Source organism: Homo sapiens, chromosome 4 (assembly GCF_000001405.40).
Source record: "Homo sapiens chromosome 4, GRCh38.p14 Primary Assembly".
NCBI lineage: Eukaryota > Metazoa > Chordata > Mammalia > Primates > Hominidae > Homo > Homo sapiens.
The window spans coordinates 44645474-44663047 of NC_000004.12; the positions used below are offsets into that span (position 1 = coordinate 44645474).

The 17574-nt window shown below is 35.6% G+C and overlaps 1 protein-coding gene across 4 annotated transcripts in view; it reads right to left on the reverse strand.

Annotated features, from left to right (window-relative positions):
• The window catches only part of YIPF7 (Yip1 domain family member 7), a 40112-nt gene extending 23386 nt beyond the window's left edge, over positions 1-16726 (reverse strand). For 3 of the 4 annotated variants that reach the window (NM_182592.3, XM_011513679.3, NM_001387382.1), the window contains exons 1-2: positions 6081-6152; positions 4512-4628 (exon numbers count right to left, since the gene is read on the reverse strand). In NM_182592.3, coding sequence (NP_872398.3) covers positions 4512-4627 — 116 coding nt within the window. In that variant the 5' untranslated portion in view covers position 4628; positions 6081-6152. Of the gene's footprint in view, positions 1-4511; positions 4629-6080; positions 6153-14975 lie in introns of those variants that run through there. The other variant, XM_047450094.1, reaches the window with a different exon arrangement.
• Positions 16727-17574: the final 848 nt, after the last annotated feature.

The window sequence follows — 17574 nt, forward strand, 5'->3', positions numbered from 1 at the left end:
TCAGATTAATATGCTCAATATTTAAGATGTCAACGTTATATATTTGTACCTCACACACAATAAGACTTTTGCAGAATATGCCAAGAAAATGTAACTCTTCTCCTGTATTATGCAATATCTCCATTAGCTCTATTGGAAGATAAATACTGAAATTGTGATAATTTCAAATTCAGCACACTATTACAGATGAAATAAATGTTAACTGAATTAGATCAAAAGAAACATTGAACTCTGGCTCATTGAATTTAAACTTTAGCTTTGTTAGTAAACGTCTCCTCTTCCTTTAAAAATCACTTCAAACTACCGAGAAGTGACTGTAGGGCTCCTTTAGAACAATCAGCAAATTTCATTTATAAGTACTCATAAATACATATACATTCATTGAAAAATAGCATTTTATTTTTAAATATATATAATATACACATTCATAGGAAAATAGAATAAAGGCAGCAAGGAGGTACACCAAATTGTTAATAATAGTCATGTCTTGGAGACAAGATTTGAAGTGATTTTAATATTTTATTCATATGCTTCTATATTTTCCAAATTCTATACTGGATACAATTAGATATCTTATAGTTTTCTAAAAGCAGAGATGTTGGTGGAGTCAAGGAAAATGTTTAACAAGAACAGCTCAGAACTTTTTGGTGTTTATTAATTCCAGAGGCAACATAGAATTAACTAGTTAAACATAACTGATTCAAAACCTTATCTGTGTAACTTACCTATGTAAATTTCCGATTAAGCTTGTAAACTCAGGCAATCTAAGTGCCCTTGGTAAGACCTTATCAAATAGGATGAGTTTGGTGGTAGCATGAGTCAGGGAGTGGTAGCTGGGATAGTTGGCTTCTGCAACATTCCTATACTCTGGTTGGTCTAGCTGGGTACACAGTAATGCCTTAACTGTGTTTGAAATACTAGAAGATCAGGTCTGAGGATTCAGAAAAGATGATGATTCAATATTTACCTGTTAAGGTCCTACCAAACCACTCAAAGGGATTTTTCCAGTTGTTCACACCTTTCTGCAACAGTATCTATTTCTTTTTTCCACATAATATGAATAGATTTCACATTTCAAAAGGTGGAAAAATATAGCCTCAGTGACTACCTATAGATGGTTGGAAATTATCCCTATCTGAATGGCTGAATAATTATGTTTTTAAAAAGATAATGATCCTACTGTTCATTCTAAAATAAGAAAACTTGTTTTTAAATATAAATATCTTCACCGTCTTAGTGAGCACAGTCACCCAGCTTTCAGATCAATACACCATTGAGCCAAACAGGCTTTTTAAAATGAGCTCTCGTATACTGTGGACAGGCGTGAAGGAAGAGAGAGAGTGAAAGAGGCAAAGACAGAGACAGAGGAAACAGAAGCTGAATGACTGATTATAACTATTCTCTAGGTTCCCACATATTTTGCCAGGATGATCATCATCTTGTTCTGATATGGGGTATATTTTAATTGAACTATTCATGGTATGAATAAAAGATCAAATCTCTGGATTTCCTTTGACGTACATAGTAAATCACTGACCTGACTCCATGTTTTACGTACCTCATAAAACTACCACAGCTACTATGCCCTTTCCTAATTCCTGAGATGCACAGTGTGAATCGGAATTTAAATGTTGCTGCATCCAAATCAGGACTTAGATTTAAATGCTAAGCATCTGAAGCAGGGAAGGCCGTCAACCTGGTACTGTAAAATTATGAGCTTTCCTCATCTGGCTACATTAATTTCCATCTCTTTGTCATTTTGATTTCTAGGAAATGTTCAGTCAAATGGAAAAAGAAAATTGGAGTGCGTGGGGTGGGTGGATAAAGCCGCGGTCCATGAGTCCTTGCTTAGGGAGAAAGTTTTTTCTCTCTTATTGTGCATTTTAGTTTAATTTAATCTGAAAATATCAATGCTACCCAAATACCAATCTTATCTGGAAAAGAGGGTTGAGAAAAGAAACAGAAGGTTTAAGGCAACTAGTTCCTTTCTACAAAACAGAACAGAGCTTAAAAATCTTAGTAGATATCTTTCATTGTGGATTGCAAATTTAGAGTGACCACCTTTGTATACCTTAGTGCTCAAACTACTCCCTGTGCCTCAAACATTTTCCTGTTTTTTTTCACCTTCCAAAGTGTAAATCATAAAAGGCAGCCTGACTAGTGCTAGGCAGGATAGCATAGGAGTGTGAATTAGATACAATTCCAGATATTCAACTTTTCCAGCCTAAAAAAAATTATATCTCAATACCTTTCCCTATCATGAAAGCAGCATCTATTTGCTTACACCTGTAGGAGTGATCAGTCTGTAAAAAGAGAGTCCATTTTTTTCTGGGCAGAGTAGGAACAGAAGACTCCCCACTGCCTGTTATATGTATTCTGTCTTTTCCTCTTTCTATCTGGAGCTTTTAAGGTGTGTGTGTGGATGTGTGTGTGTATAACAAAGCTTCAAAAATTAATACATTTGAAATATACCACATATCCTAATTTATGGAACAGTTTATTCTTATTATCCCAACATTATTATAATAGCACTAATTTTACATTTAAAAAGTCTTTATTTTATAATAAGTCATATGCTCACACTAGTTATAGCACTAATCAAACAACCTTGAGCTAAAATCCTAACCCCATTTCTTACTAGATGTGTAACCTTGAGAAAATCTCTTAATTTCTCTGTGTGTCTGTCTTCTCATGCAAAATGGGGATGATAGTGCAAGTTGAGTATCCTTTATCTGAAATGTTTGGGACCAAAGTGTTTTAGATTTCAGATTTTTATGGATTTTTGAATATTTACAGAACACATACTGGTTGAGCATCCTTAATCTGAAAACTAGAAATCCGAAATGCTCCACTGAGCATTTCCCTTGAGCACATGTCAGTGTTCAAAAAGTTTTGGATTTGGGGACATTTCAGATTCTGATTTGGGATTTGGGATGCTCAACCTGTAGTGCCTAATTCATATGGTGCTCCAATGAGTTAATGTATATAATTGAGGATCCAATGAATTAATTTATATAATTTCAGAACAGTTCCTAACATATAATAAAAACTCAATATATTGTATAGTTATCATGAAAGTTGAAGAGTCTGACTCTTCTTGCCCTCTAACCTAGACCCAAGAAAAAAATTCCAAGAATGCAACTATTTAACAAAATACAGTATACTTCAGTGACTTTAGGTAACAAAGTGTCAATTGCTTTTGTAAGTCACATTTATATGAATAAATACTGTTTATATAGTGGTTTTACTTTAACACACACTTTCCTACATATTATCATAATTTTTTTCATAACAATTCCATTAAGTAGGTATTATTAATATCCTTATTTTCCAGATTAAGACAGTCAGAGAAGTTAAGTCATACCAATATCACAGACAGAAAATGCCAAAGCCAGAATTTGAACCAAATTCTTCTTACTCTAAATGCCATATTTTGCCGCTATCAAATTCTTAATCATTTTGTTTCATTTTCAACTCAAGTTGAATTTTTACTTCAAATAACTATCATATTTTAACGTGTTTACCTTGATTCCGTCATGGCATTTTTCATACTTTAAATTGCATATTTAATTGCCCAATTCTTCAACATAAAATTGCATGAGAGAAAAAACTATGAATTTCATCGTTATATTTGGATTTGCAGTGCCCTTCTTAATTTCTGAAACACAAGCAGAATCTCAATAAATGTTTATTAAATTAATGAAATCTGGTTCTCAAGAAGTGCCCTGGAAAATATTAGGCAAAAGGAAAATGGTTTCTGTTTGCCCAGTGCCTGTATCCCAGCTCTCTGTTAAGTGATAGTTTGAAAAGAGGAGACAAGCCTTTCACTTGGCTCAGGCTGAGGTGATAAAGGGGATTCATGGAGAACTTGATGAATTTCTCTGCCATTTCCTGACATGTATTCTTGGGCAATTTACTGAGATATGTTGAGGCAAATGTTGGCTTTTCCCAAGGAAACCTCCCTCTCTAGAAATCCCTGCCATAATATTAAGACTTCTTAAAACAAGAACAATACAGCTCAGTGCGGTTGTTAATGCTTATAATCCAAACACTTTGGGAGGCCCAGCGGGGCGGATCACTTGAGCTCATGAGCTCCAGGCCAGTCTGGGCAACATGGCCAAATCTCGTCTCTACTAAACATTAAAAAAAAAAAAAAATAGCCAGGCATGGTGGCACACGCCTATAATCCTAGCTACATGCGAGGCTGAGGCACAGAATCGCTTGAACCCAGGAGGCAGAGACAGCAGTGAGCCAAGATTGCACCACTGCACTCCACTGCACTCCAGCCTTACAAAAGCAATTGACACTTTGTTGCCTAAAGTTACTTAAGTATACTGTATTTTGTTAATTAGTTGCTTTCTTGGATTTTTTTTGTGGGTCTAGTTTAGAGGGCAAGAAAGATCAGACCCTTCAACTTTCATAATAACTACAATATATTGAATTTTTACAATATGTGGGTGACAGAGTGAGACTCTGTCAAAAAAAAAAAAAGAAAAATATTAAGTACTTACTTTCTAGATCCATAAAGATTTCCATAGGCATTAGAGTCATTACCACTCTGCTCCTGGTTATCAATAGTAAAATTAGATTGGTAAAAATCAGAGTCAAATTGTGCCAAGTTTGACATCCTGAAAAATAAGAGTATGTTTTTAATAAGTTCATGAGTCAATAAAACTTAGTTTGAGATATTTACAAACATCAAATGACAATGTGATTATGGCTGAATTCCTATCAGAAAAAAAGATGTCCTTTGAATGGGGTCAATAAAGTATTGGGGGAAGGGTATAGAAATATATGCTAGAAAGTTATTTACAGAATGTGTTATCTTCAACTACTTTTTCTGAAGTTTTCGCACCCTGGACTGTGGCTTTTAATAACTTGACTTTAATTCATCTGAAAGAACTAATCTTCTCCAAATATCTTATTCTTAGTAATTTAAGAGAAAAAGCTTAAAACTTAGGACACATCTAGAAGGATTTCCCTAAAACGATGTTCTTCATTTTAAGCAGGCGCACACACATGCGCGCGCGCGCGCACACACACACACACACACACACACTTGTACCAAGGATTATTATCTGCAAATGGCTGATAATAATAATACTCCTTCCCAAAGCAAAACCAAAACCCTACAAACCCATTTCCTTGTTCTACTTGGCAATTCTTAAAAAGTGTTTGGAATATTTTCGTTTTTCTTTTGCTCTGGATACTGCACCTGGGCTTCTGGCTGAGTCAGAGAGAAAAAGACTCAATCCTGCTAAGGGAAGTCTTTGTTCTATACATTCTCTCTATAGTTTCCACTCACTTCTAGGAGTAAAGAGGAATGATTGTTTTTGAATTAGACCTAATGGCCAGGAATACCAGAGGGAAAAATAAAGAACTGAGAGAAGGAAGAGGTATGGGAGAAGAGGACATTAGAGAGGTAATAGTGGCTCTTTGGATAAAAAGTAGAGAATAGAGAAGCGACTCTTTTCAACTGGACAAATGTGGTTATTCAACTCAACATTTAATTCTTTATTTTTCTTTGAAAACCTTGTTATTTTAAAAGAGTGGATTTAAAAATCACCAGGAGTAATCCATATGCTTATAATAATCTATGGAATACTACTTATAAAAATATCAAATGAAATTGCATAAACAGCCTCAACTCTAAAGGCATCATTAATCAGAAATATTCAAGTAACAGTTGTCAAATATATCAAATTTGTTCAGTTCAATGAAAACACAAAAAGCTTCTCTAAAATTAGATGCAGCGATTCATACATCTGATGCAATAAATCAAGATTTTTCATTAGTAATGTGTATAAAAGTAGCTATGAATTATGTAAACTGAAATCAGGACTTAGTGATAAATCTTTTAACAATTTATAATTTAAAGAAATTACAATGTAATAGCATAACTTTCTCAACACATGAAAATATGGTATTATAAAGCATAGAGAGTAATTTATTGAGAATACACTAAATTTTCATAACATGCAAAGCTTTATGTAACATGACTATTGGTACTACAGTCCTTACATAACCGAGCTTTGTATTTTGTTTAAATGCCAAGTCTTTTAGAAGGATCAGACACATACCTCTGTTTATTTTTTATAGAAAGATCCTCCAGTAAATGTAGCTTTGTGTGAGAAATTTTAAGCAAATCCATTGGTGAAAAGATGACATGCTGGCTATATATATACCTTTCTAAATTTGTATTCTGACACCCTGAGCAGATGCTACAGTCAAAAATAAAAAAGCCTGCCAAAAGCCAAATACAGTATCTTATAACACTTATTATGGTTTACAAACACAGTGAACAGTGTTACAGACTTACAATTTGATAATATGGAAATTGTGGAAAGATAAATACAATTCCCTTTTGTACATATCTATTAAACTCTGAGGTAAGATCATTTATTTGAGGCAAGCAGTTAAAAAGTAAGAGGCCTCAATGTCCCTTCCATTTCATGGATTTCCTAATAATATGCAGTAAAAATCAAAATATGGCACATGATCTTATGTAGAAGATCTCAGCACCAAAATGAAAATGAGTTGTGGTCAATTTTATCTAAATCAGAGCTATTCTATTTATATGAGCAATATTTAAGAAGACTAATTACAGTCTGCCTCTGACTTTTTTCCTGCTTCCTACTTTTCCAGCAGAGGCCAAGATGGATATGCTAATGGGATCTAGTGCTTCTTACCTGATGGACAGGTTCTATACCATTATCGAGCCAATCCTAACCACTGGAAGGTGTTAGGCCCATCCCCACCTCAGGAAGCTCCCTGAATTGGCCCTTCTCTGTATCACTGGGTCACTGCTGGGAGCCTACTTTCTGGTTCTGACCCAGGTAACCTAGCTAATACTATCAATTCTATCTAGATCTGGTGTTCTCATCCCTAATATTAATCTCACAGTTGGAAGTCAAGTCCCCTGTGGTTTGCTTCATGCTGATTCTCTTTTCTAGGACTTAAGACTTCCCATGTATCCAAATCTCAGTAACTGAAATTTTCTGTCCAAAGGCAGATAATTTGGCACTTAAGAATCTTCAACTGGAGCCAACAGCAGAATGCTGGAGTAATTTTTTTCCACATTGTTTAAAAGCATTTGAAATTTGAATGTCTTTAATCACAGCTGCCCTTCTTACATCACTAGTCAGGCAACAATTGGTCACACATTTTATCAAGGACATACTGTTGAGTTCCACACTCTGTTGTAGATGCCAGGGTTTCAGAAACAAGCAAACTAAACATTTAAAGAGTTACATCTTAGTACTGATTTTGCTACACCTACAACTAATAATAATGAATAACTGGGCATTGTTCTACAAACTTTAAGTCATTTAATTTTTGTAACAACCTGATGAAGTATTATTATCCCATTTTACCAAAAAATAAATGGAGATTGAATAATTTTCCCAAGGTCATTAGCTAGTAGGTGAAAAAGCCAATGTTTGAAAGCTGACTGAGTTCAGAACTCACATTATCCAAGATAATTTCAGGAATTATACAATAGAATATACTGTTAAGATGGAGAGTGCAAAGGGGAGAGGATTTGAATACTCAGGGAAGGCTTCTTAAGAGGGTCATTTGGATAGAGATCTGATGGATGATAATGAAGAAGTCGCTTTACAGACTACGTGAAGAACATTTCAAGCAAAGACTTTCAGATGGCAAGGAGTTTTGTGGTTTCTGGTTTAGAAATAAAAAGCCAATGTTGCTAGGGATTTTTGAATTAGAGAAAAGTTGAAGGAGATGAGGTCAGAGGTATGAACAGAGGCTGGACCAAAAAGGAGCCTGTAGGCCGTGGTAAAGAGTCTAAAGGTTACATAATTGAAATGAAATGTCATTCTAGGGTAGTATAAAATGTGATGATTCCGTATTAGTCACAAGTGGAAGAGGGAGACTGGTTAGGAAGAGAAAGTTACAATAACACAGGCATGAGATGTGAGTGGCCTGAACTAGGGTAGCAGTGGAAGGAGAACTGGTACAAAAGTCATGGCAACTGAGGAAAAGATGAATTACAGGGGTCAATACTGAAGCAGTAGTATCAGTAAAAAGAAAATTCAGTCCAGGAAAATGATGAGTTATATGAACTGAGGAAGGGCCAACCAATAGGTAGAGTACTGAACAAATACAGAAGATATTTGGGAAAGATTTAATAGGATTCAGTTTCTATTGAATAGGAGGAAGAAGGAAAAGGCAATTACTGAGGATGATTTCTAGAATTCTGTCAGTTTTTCCATTCTAGTGCATAATGCCATAGGAAAAGGCCACATTGTTATATAGTGGCCAAATTTTGATTATTACCATCTTTTCTATTCCTTCTTTCAAAGTTCTTTACGTGAGAACATAGGTCCTTTTCTAAAACAGCAGAGATTTATGGTACATTCTTTTTTTTGACGTATAAATTCCACAAAAAGCCTACCAAAGATAATACTTTTTATCTTAGTCCATTTAGGTACATTTTAAACTTATTTTGTGATGTTGTACTTTTCAACACAGTTTCCTTCATAAAAACCTGGCTCGATTAAATGAATTACAGGAATATATGGACTGAAAATGGCATATAAAAAAATTAATCTCAGCCTCAAGTGAATTATAAACCATGGAACATTGAAGACAAAATGACTTCAGCCTCTTTAGAAGTGCATTAATGGACCATTAATGCATAGGCAAGAATATTTTAGAGCTATTCTTATGGCTATAACACTGTGTATCTATAAAATATACATTTAAGTGGGTTTTTTCCATTAATGAATTATCTGATTTCTGTAGCACATGTTGAAGAACAGAGTGTAGATTGATATTACATATAGTCACAGTGTCATCAATTATTTTAACTCATCTGTTTTAGTAATTGTTTCTGTGTCCTGAATGACCAAAAAGGCTGCATTAGGTGAATAAAGTTTCTCACCTGATGTAAAAAAGCCGTGTGTTCTACTCATAGACACTTTCTTTTCCTTCCTTCTCGTTTTCTTTTCTCTCCCCCCTCTCTCCTTACCTTCATCCTTTCCTTCTCTCCCTCAGTTCTCTCTCTGAACTCTCTCTTAAGTTGATCCTATCTATTCCCATGGCTTTATATATCATCTATATATAGACAATTCCCAAAGTTACATATGCATCCTTGACCTTTCTTCTCAGGATCAGACTATTTGATAGACATTTCAAACTTAACATAATCCAAACTGGATTCTTAAAGTCTTTACCCTTCCCAACCCAACACTGCCTTCTCTATTTCAAGAAATGACATCACAAAGCACTCACTCAAATCAGAAATCATCTAATTTTTCAACAAATTCTATCAATTCTGTCTCTTAAATATATCTCTCACTAACCAATTTCCTCCATTTCCACTGCTATCAGCCTGGTTGAAGTCACCATTTTCTCCCACTTATAATTCTCTTTGTAATTATTTTAAAAAGTGAAATATCACTTTTACAGTAGCAGATTGGTAGGAGATAACAAAGCTCACTTAAAAAGACTGTAAAAATACACCTTTAATGACTTGACAAAACCAGGAAAGATTCTTCTGTGGTTGCTAACTGCAATTAGCAGTAGGAATCAATAGGAATTTCCATCCATAGTTTCTTAGCATCTCTCTGGTGATCTGTCACATGTTGTAGAGGCTGTGAGTTGCTCAATAGATATATTGGCAACAATTTGCCATATACCTGACAGTTATGCATACATATTTGTGTTAAGTTAAATAATGCATGGCTTGATGTATGGATGAATCATAACTATTATAAATACTGCATACTCAGAATCCAATATTTTAGTTGATGTCTATTAATCTAAGTATAATGCAAAATTGTGACATTCATCACTGCAGTCCTCTGATATAAAAATGGAGACTCAGAGAAGCAAATTGATTTGTGCAGTCACACACTTAGTATGTGAAAGAACCTAGTCTGAAGCATCAATTCTCTCACTCGCTCAGTTTTCTTTGATTACTCTGTTTCTTCAAAAATATTATGTATGGCTGCCCAGAACTCTGGTGTTATGAATGTACCTATTTAGGAACACTAAATGATGTTTACTTGTATCCCTCTACCCCAAATATTTTCAGCTGAATAGAGCTGCCAATAAACCAAAAGAAAAATATGTCATTATTTTCTACCTCTGCTGACAGAGAAACAGGTTGTTTGTTACCAGTGTTTATCATGTAATTACTTTATTCTGGCAATCTGTATTGCAATTTAATGCACATCTGCATTAATTCAGAGAAGAATAGAACGCATTGTTTTCCGTTATTTTTAATGCATTTTTATCAGTATTCTTTAAATGCTCTTTTTGTTAGTACCACATAAGATTTGTTCCTGATCATCTGCCTTTTAAAGACCGTGCTGCTTCTATTTTATAAGCCTGAAACTACAGCCCTGAATATTACAGAGACACATGAAAATGGGCATAAAATTCTGTTGCACTGCATGAATGAATTTTAAAGAGCTCAATATGTTCTATGGCAAGCAAAGAAAAGAAAATTAAAGGATTTTGCTTCATTAATACTATCATAATTATCTTTGACTTTTAATTTGGCTATTTCTTCTGAATTTCCACTTTTTTTTTCCTGCCAAGACTTTGTCTTTACAGAAAACATTGCATTCTAGCAGAGTTATTGCTGAATTCTTATTAAGTTTTTAGTTTGGCAATATGTTTTGTTAGCAAAAATATAATTTACACCTGAGATTATGAAAGTTGATATGAGCAGTAATTGAGTTGTACATTCTTAGTAACCATATTATTATAATAGTCATTTAAATATGTAACAAGAAGTCAAATTTACATCCATTTAGCAAATTGATGTAATTAATTTTCATAGGAAGTCTTTCCCAGGAATTATATACATTCTTCCACAAGTTATCTAATCACATAGATCCTTAGTTCCTTCATCAGTAAAAAGGAATAAAACTTATTCTTACCTCTTAGGTGCTGTTTATTTCATCTTTATCTCATCCACTTAATTCTATTTTTCCATGTTTCACAACATATCAAGATTATTAATTAATGAATATATAACTTTTATGTGTGTATATAAACTTCAGTATAAAATATGAGGATTAGATAGAATTTTGCAAAAGGTACAATTGAGTACGGTAGCTGGCAAGTAGTAAATTGTCAATAAATGTGACCTGTTTGATTATGTTTCTAGGTGATGATGAAACTGGATCAACAGCAAGCATCCAAATTTACTCTTGTGTTCATTATTTACAATCATTCAACACATATTTTTTTCTACTTTGATATTACATAAATCTGAATAAAGTTATTTTATCAAAAGAAGATAGGAGGCTGGATATTTACAAATGCTCTCTCTTGTAGAGAGACTGCAATTAGAGATTCAACGTTTCCTTAGCATTCATGTCTTATTTTACAATAAAAAAATAAAATTTCTAATAAGAAAAGTAAAAATTGACTTTATTGTCCAAGTATTACTTACTATTTTGACTAAAATCCTTTAGGTACTGCTCAGTAAGGACGTATGTTTATGTTGACCATATTTCCTTTAGCAAAGAAAGGTGAAATTCTTCACAATGTTCTGTCATAGTTATGTTTTTTTATGACAACATTGCTATTTCATGGCCTATGCAATTGCACCATTATTAAGATTTTTGTCAAAGTATTCCAAGTTTATTGTGAAAATTTTATTATGATCAGCAGGTGAGAATTGTTAAGACAGTTTGAGGAAAATGACCAGATATAGTATGTTTTTAATGTAATTGTCAATATACAAATTCTATTTCATAAAGAGTATCTCTACCTTCTTTCGACAGGAGAAGCTAATGACTTACAGCTTAGAATTTTAACTTAATTTGAACATTTACTCAAACATCGCGTTTATATGGGGAGCTCTTCAAAGGAAAACTTTCTGCCTTGCAGTATTTATGTTTCATACACAAATCTGAGCTAGGGATAGTAAGGTATAGCATGACAAAATAATGTTTTAAATACAATTGAATCTTCTTTTAAAACAAATATAGTTGACTGTCTGGTTTAAAGTGTCACTAGGCCAGAAAGTTGTCTCACAATCCCAGCAAAATGACCTATGAAGGTTTATAAAAGGATAAACATGCCACAATGTGAAAAACTAATGCTTGGAGTCAACCTCCTGCCAGAGCCTGGGTAAAATTTCTGTGATAAGGTCGATGAGTATGTAGTGAAAAAAATGATTTTAGACCATTGCAGTCTTTCCGTCGTGCACCAGGACAGCTCATTCATATGAAAGGAAGAAGATTCCTGAGACCCTCAGAGATTCAGGCTTTGTAATAAATAGAAAAGCAGCCATCCCCCTACTGTAACGATGCTGCTTTTCTAAGTGCCAGAGAAATAATCCTGCCACCTGGTCTTATGGTCTGATATATATTTGGGGAAAGTCACACCTGGGAGAAGGGAGGACCGCTCTCAGGATATATAGTGAAAGGGAGTTGTGGCTTAGTGGGATTGGGGTGGAAGTTCTCAGTAATTGCTATGGACTGGCAGGGTGTGGTGGCTCATACCTGTAATCCTAGCACTTTGGGAGGCTGAGGTGGGAGGATCACTTGAGCCCAGGAGTTTGAGACTAGCCTGGGCAATATAGTGAGACCCCACCTTTATAAAAAATAAATAAATACAATTTTTAAAAGGTGTTATAGACTGAATGTTTATGCCCTCCCCCTGTCCCCCTACCAAATCCATACATTGAAATCTAACCCAATGTGATGGTATCTGGAGGTGGAGTCTTTGGGAGGTTACTAAGTCATGAGGATGGAGCCCTCATGAATGAGATTAGTAATCTTATAAGAAGAGGCCAGAGAGCTAGCTCTGTTTCCTTCCAATATGTGAGGATACAATAAGAACTCAGCAGTCTGCAACCTGGAAGAGGGCCCACATCAGAACTCCACTATGCTGGCACCCTGATCTCAGCTTGCAGCCTCCAGAACTAAGAAAAATAAATTTCCACTGTTGACAAGCCACCCTGTCTATGTCACTTTTTTATTGAAGCCTGAATAGACTAAGACACTAATAATGGTTCTACGCATCCTGGGAACTATAGTCTCCCCACTACCCTGTTGTTATAAGATCAGAGAAAAGCATCCAATGACAATATATACCGGGGGAATGAAGCTTTTCATGTATCACACTACTTTCACCCAAAATTCTGATGTGAAACTGTGCAAGACGATCCAATGGAGTAGAGAAAACAACGGTAGACTATTTGTATTAGTAGTTTTCATGCTGCTGATAAAGGCATACCCGAGACTGGGTAATTTACAAAGAAAAATCATGGTGGAAGGTGAGAGGCACATTTTACATGGCAGCAGATAGGAGAATAAGAATCAAACAAAAGGGGAACCCCTTATAAAACCATTGGATCTTTTGAGATTTATTCACTACCATGAGAACAGTGTGGGAGACACTGCCTCCATGATTCGATTATCTTCAATCATCACCCACTGGGTCCCTCCCACAAAATGTGGGAATTATGGGAGCTACAATTCAAGAAGAGATTTGGGCGAGGACTCAGCCAAACCATATCACTATTATTTATATTTATTTCTATATAAAAATATGAAATATATTAATCATTACTAGTATTTAGTTTACACAGTTACTGTACTCTCCCTGTTTGCCTGGGTTTATCTGCAGAGTTGGCTGGATCATGAGGAAGCCTGGGAACCTATCACATGAAGATGTTGAAAGCAACACCCATTTTCATCCCTTCCCTTTTACAGAGCCACAGCGTACTGGGGTTTGTGAGTGTGCATTAAGTGCAGTAATAAATTATATTTTTTAACTTAAGCTTGCCCTTACAATATGCACACATGGCTTCAAAGTCAGAGTCAGGGAAAAGATGAAATGTAAAGACAATGTATTCGAACAAAACATAAGAGCAAAGACATATTAGTTTAGGAAGCACTGTAAAAAATCTAGTAAAATAATGCAAATGATAGTATAAATGATAGTGCTGACAATTGGATCAGGGATATAGAGACTACACTTAATATATTATCTCCTAATTCAAAATAAAAGGGCAAAGGAAATAAATTGAAAAAGAAAAAGAAGAGCAAAGAAACGACCAATTCATAACGGAAAAATCTGTGGGAAGTATTTAAACTCACTATCAATAATTTTAAACTAAAATAAGACATAATGTTTGACCTATCAAGTTAGCAAAGATACAATAAAAATATCTAGTTTTAGTAAGGCTGAAGACAACCAAAAATCTCATATAAAGTTTATTTTAGTATATATTGTTTTACAAAATCTTTAGCTGGTAACTAAGCATTAAAAAGCACTATAAAACGTCTATATTCCCTTGATTTAGCAAATCTAGTTAAAATAATTTATCCTAAAGACTTAATCAGGGAATATACATTAAAACAAAATCTTGGCCAGGCGCGGTGGCTCACGCCTATAATCCCAGCACTTTGGGAGGCCAAGGCAGGTGGATCACAAGGTCAGGAGATCGAGACCACCCTGGCTAACAGGGTGAAACCCCGTCTCTACTAAAAATACAAAAAAATTAGCCAGGAGTGGTGGCGGCTGCCTGTAGTCCCAGCTACTCGGGAGGCTGAGACAGGAGAATGGCGTGAACCTGGGAGGCAGAGCTTGCAGTGAGCGGAGATTGCGCCACTGCACTCCAGCCTGGGTGACAGAGCAAGACTCTGTCTCAAAAAAAAAAAAAAAAAAAAAAACGAACCTTACAGTGACCTGCATGTCTAATATTAGAGGACTAGTTAATTAAATCATGATACACCTATGCAATTGAACACTTTGCAATTTGAGCCAGATTAAAGATAGCTACACATTCTTTGATACTCCTTTTTAAAAAGGGATGTAATTTCCTTCACCTTGAATATAGGCTGGCCTTAGTGACTTGCTTGACCAATAAAATGTGGAGGAAGCAACGTTCTCAGACTTTCAAGGTTGGATAAGAAGCTATTTAGCTTTTGCCTGGGTCCCTTGGAACACTTGTTCTTTGAGTCCGACTGCCATGTAATAAGTACCTGAGATTGTGATGCTGAAGAGGCTGTATGGGGAGACCACATGGAGAGACTGTGACTACAAGATGAGAGAGAAAGAGATGCCCGATTTTCAAGTCCCCAGCTGGTCGAGTCATCCCAGTTGAGGCCACAGACATCACAGAAACAAGTCATTCCTGCCTGACTTTCCCAAACTGCAGATGAATACACAAAAGGAATGATTGTTGTGAGTCACTACATTTTGGAGTGGTTTGTGATATAGCAGTAAATAACTAGAACACATTTGGTGAATGGAATTGGTTTTTGAAAATGTTACATTGCATCTGAGACCAAGTAGTAGGAAAAAGATGGAAACACCCCAAGGGGACTATTAGTGGAAGCTCAAAGGGTCCCAGGCTTAGGATTTGAAGGAGAGTGAAAAATATGTTTTTGTAGGATGGAAAAAATTGAGACTTATTTTATGTAGTACCAAAAAGTTTGGCAATACTGGTGCCCAGGTTAATGTGAAAAATAGACAAGGGAACTTTCCAGACAAAATACAGAAAATGCCAACCGGTTTCTTGCAGCAACTTATAAGAACATATAAGGAGACTAAAATACAAAAACTAAAGCAGGAACTGTTAAGATTCTAAGTGGAATTTAGAGGAAATTTAAAAAGGCCAGGACTTGCTTGATTTGAAAACAGAATAGTTTTCCAACCTTAGTCTCTCTTAGCAAAAATTCTCCAAAGTAGAAAATGGCTTCAGCACAAAGATAAAACTTAGGATGCCACCATTAAAGTATGGGCTCAGAGATAAACTGAAGGTTGTGACTATAAACCATTTGTTAAGACTTCAGACAGATGTAAGGGTATACTTAGCCGGGCTTCTAAATATCTCATGGGCACATCTTGTGAACCCTCTCAGTTAAACAACAAGGGTTTTAGAAATATTAACATCCTACAAGAACCACACAGGGGGTCTAACGTAGAAAAGGGCCTGTCTTGGGAAGAAACACTGGTTGTGAAGTGGATTATAAATTGATCCATAAGAAACTCAAATAGGGAGGCAGCAAATTGACTGAGCATCTCTGTTCTTTGGATAGAAGTTGGTAAGATTTGTAAATAGTAAAATTTCTTACACAAAGTTTGCAAGTACTACAGGTTCCATTTGTTGCAATATGCATTTGTCATCCCTTGTAAAGGGTACACATGTCTCTTTATGTCATCTTCTTAACAACAATAAAAAGCAGCATAATTTTTTAATCTTATATATTTCCCACCAGGGAGGAGACAGCATTCATTGGGAGGTGAGAATTATTGGGCTTAAACCTTCAAATTCCTAACATAAAAATGTACATTCAACCAAAAGTGTTGCAGATAAATCCATGTGGAAGAAAAAAGATTAACAGGAATATTACTTAGTGAGGTGGAATCAGAGAATGGGGACTTGGTCTTTAATTACCAAGTTAATTGGTTTTTATCTGTCACCATCTCTAGCCAGCAGATAGAGTTCTTGGTTCAAGGCACTCACAACTTTGAATCCTACAGAGGTACTGTCAGCCTTTTTCTCTTTAATGCTCTTTCTTTCTTGTTTGTTTCTGATTTATCTTCCTTCTGATGAACATGTGCTTTTCTTCAGTTATATTGAAACCATTTGTTACATTATACCAACTGTTGTGCTGTTCTGTACAGCAGTACCCCTCATCCTTATGGGATACATTACAAGACCCCTAGTGGGTGCCTAAGAAACCACAGATAGTATGGAACCCTATATATACTGTTTCTTCCTATACATACATACCTATGATAAAGTTTAACGTATAAATTAGGTACAGTAAGAGACTAACAATAATAGAACAATTATAACAATATGCTGTAATAGCAGTTATGTAAATGTGGTCTCTCTCTCTTTCTCTCAAAATATCTTATTGTACTGTACTCACCCTTCTTTTTGTTGATTTGATAACCAAGAAGGCTACTTAAGTGACTAATGGGCAAAGAGCAAACATGGTGTGGATACTTTGGACAAAGGGATGATTCATGTCCTGGGCACAGTGGAGCAGAAGGACAGAGCAGGACAGGGCAAGACTTCATCATGCTACTCAGAATGACACTCAACTTACAACTTATGAATTGTTTATTTCTGGAATTTTCCATTTAATGCTTTTGGCACACAGTTGACCACAGGTAACTGAAACTGTATGCTTGCTATGGTCTGGATATTTGTCCCCTCAAACCTCATTTGAAATGTGATCCCAATGTTGGAGGTGGGGCCTACTGGGAAGTGTTTGGGTCCTGGGGTGGATCTCTCATGAACTGCTTGGTGCTGTCCTTACAGTAATGAGTGAGTTCTTGATCTATTAATTCCTGTGAGAACTGATTGTGAAAAACAGCCTGGCTCCTCCCTCCCCGCTCTCTCTTGCTTCCTCTCTCACCATATGATCTGTACACACCAGTTCCCTTTTGCCTTCTGCCATGAACAAAAGCAGCCTGAAGCTCTCATCTGACATACATGCTGGTGCTGTGCTACTTGCACAGCATGCAGAACGGTGAGCCAAATAAACCTATTTTCTTTATAAATTACCCAACCTCAGCTATTCCTTCATAGCGACACAAATGAACTATGACACTTGGAAAGAGAAA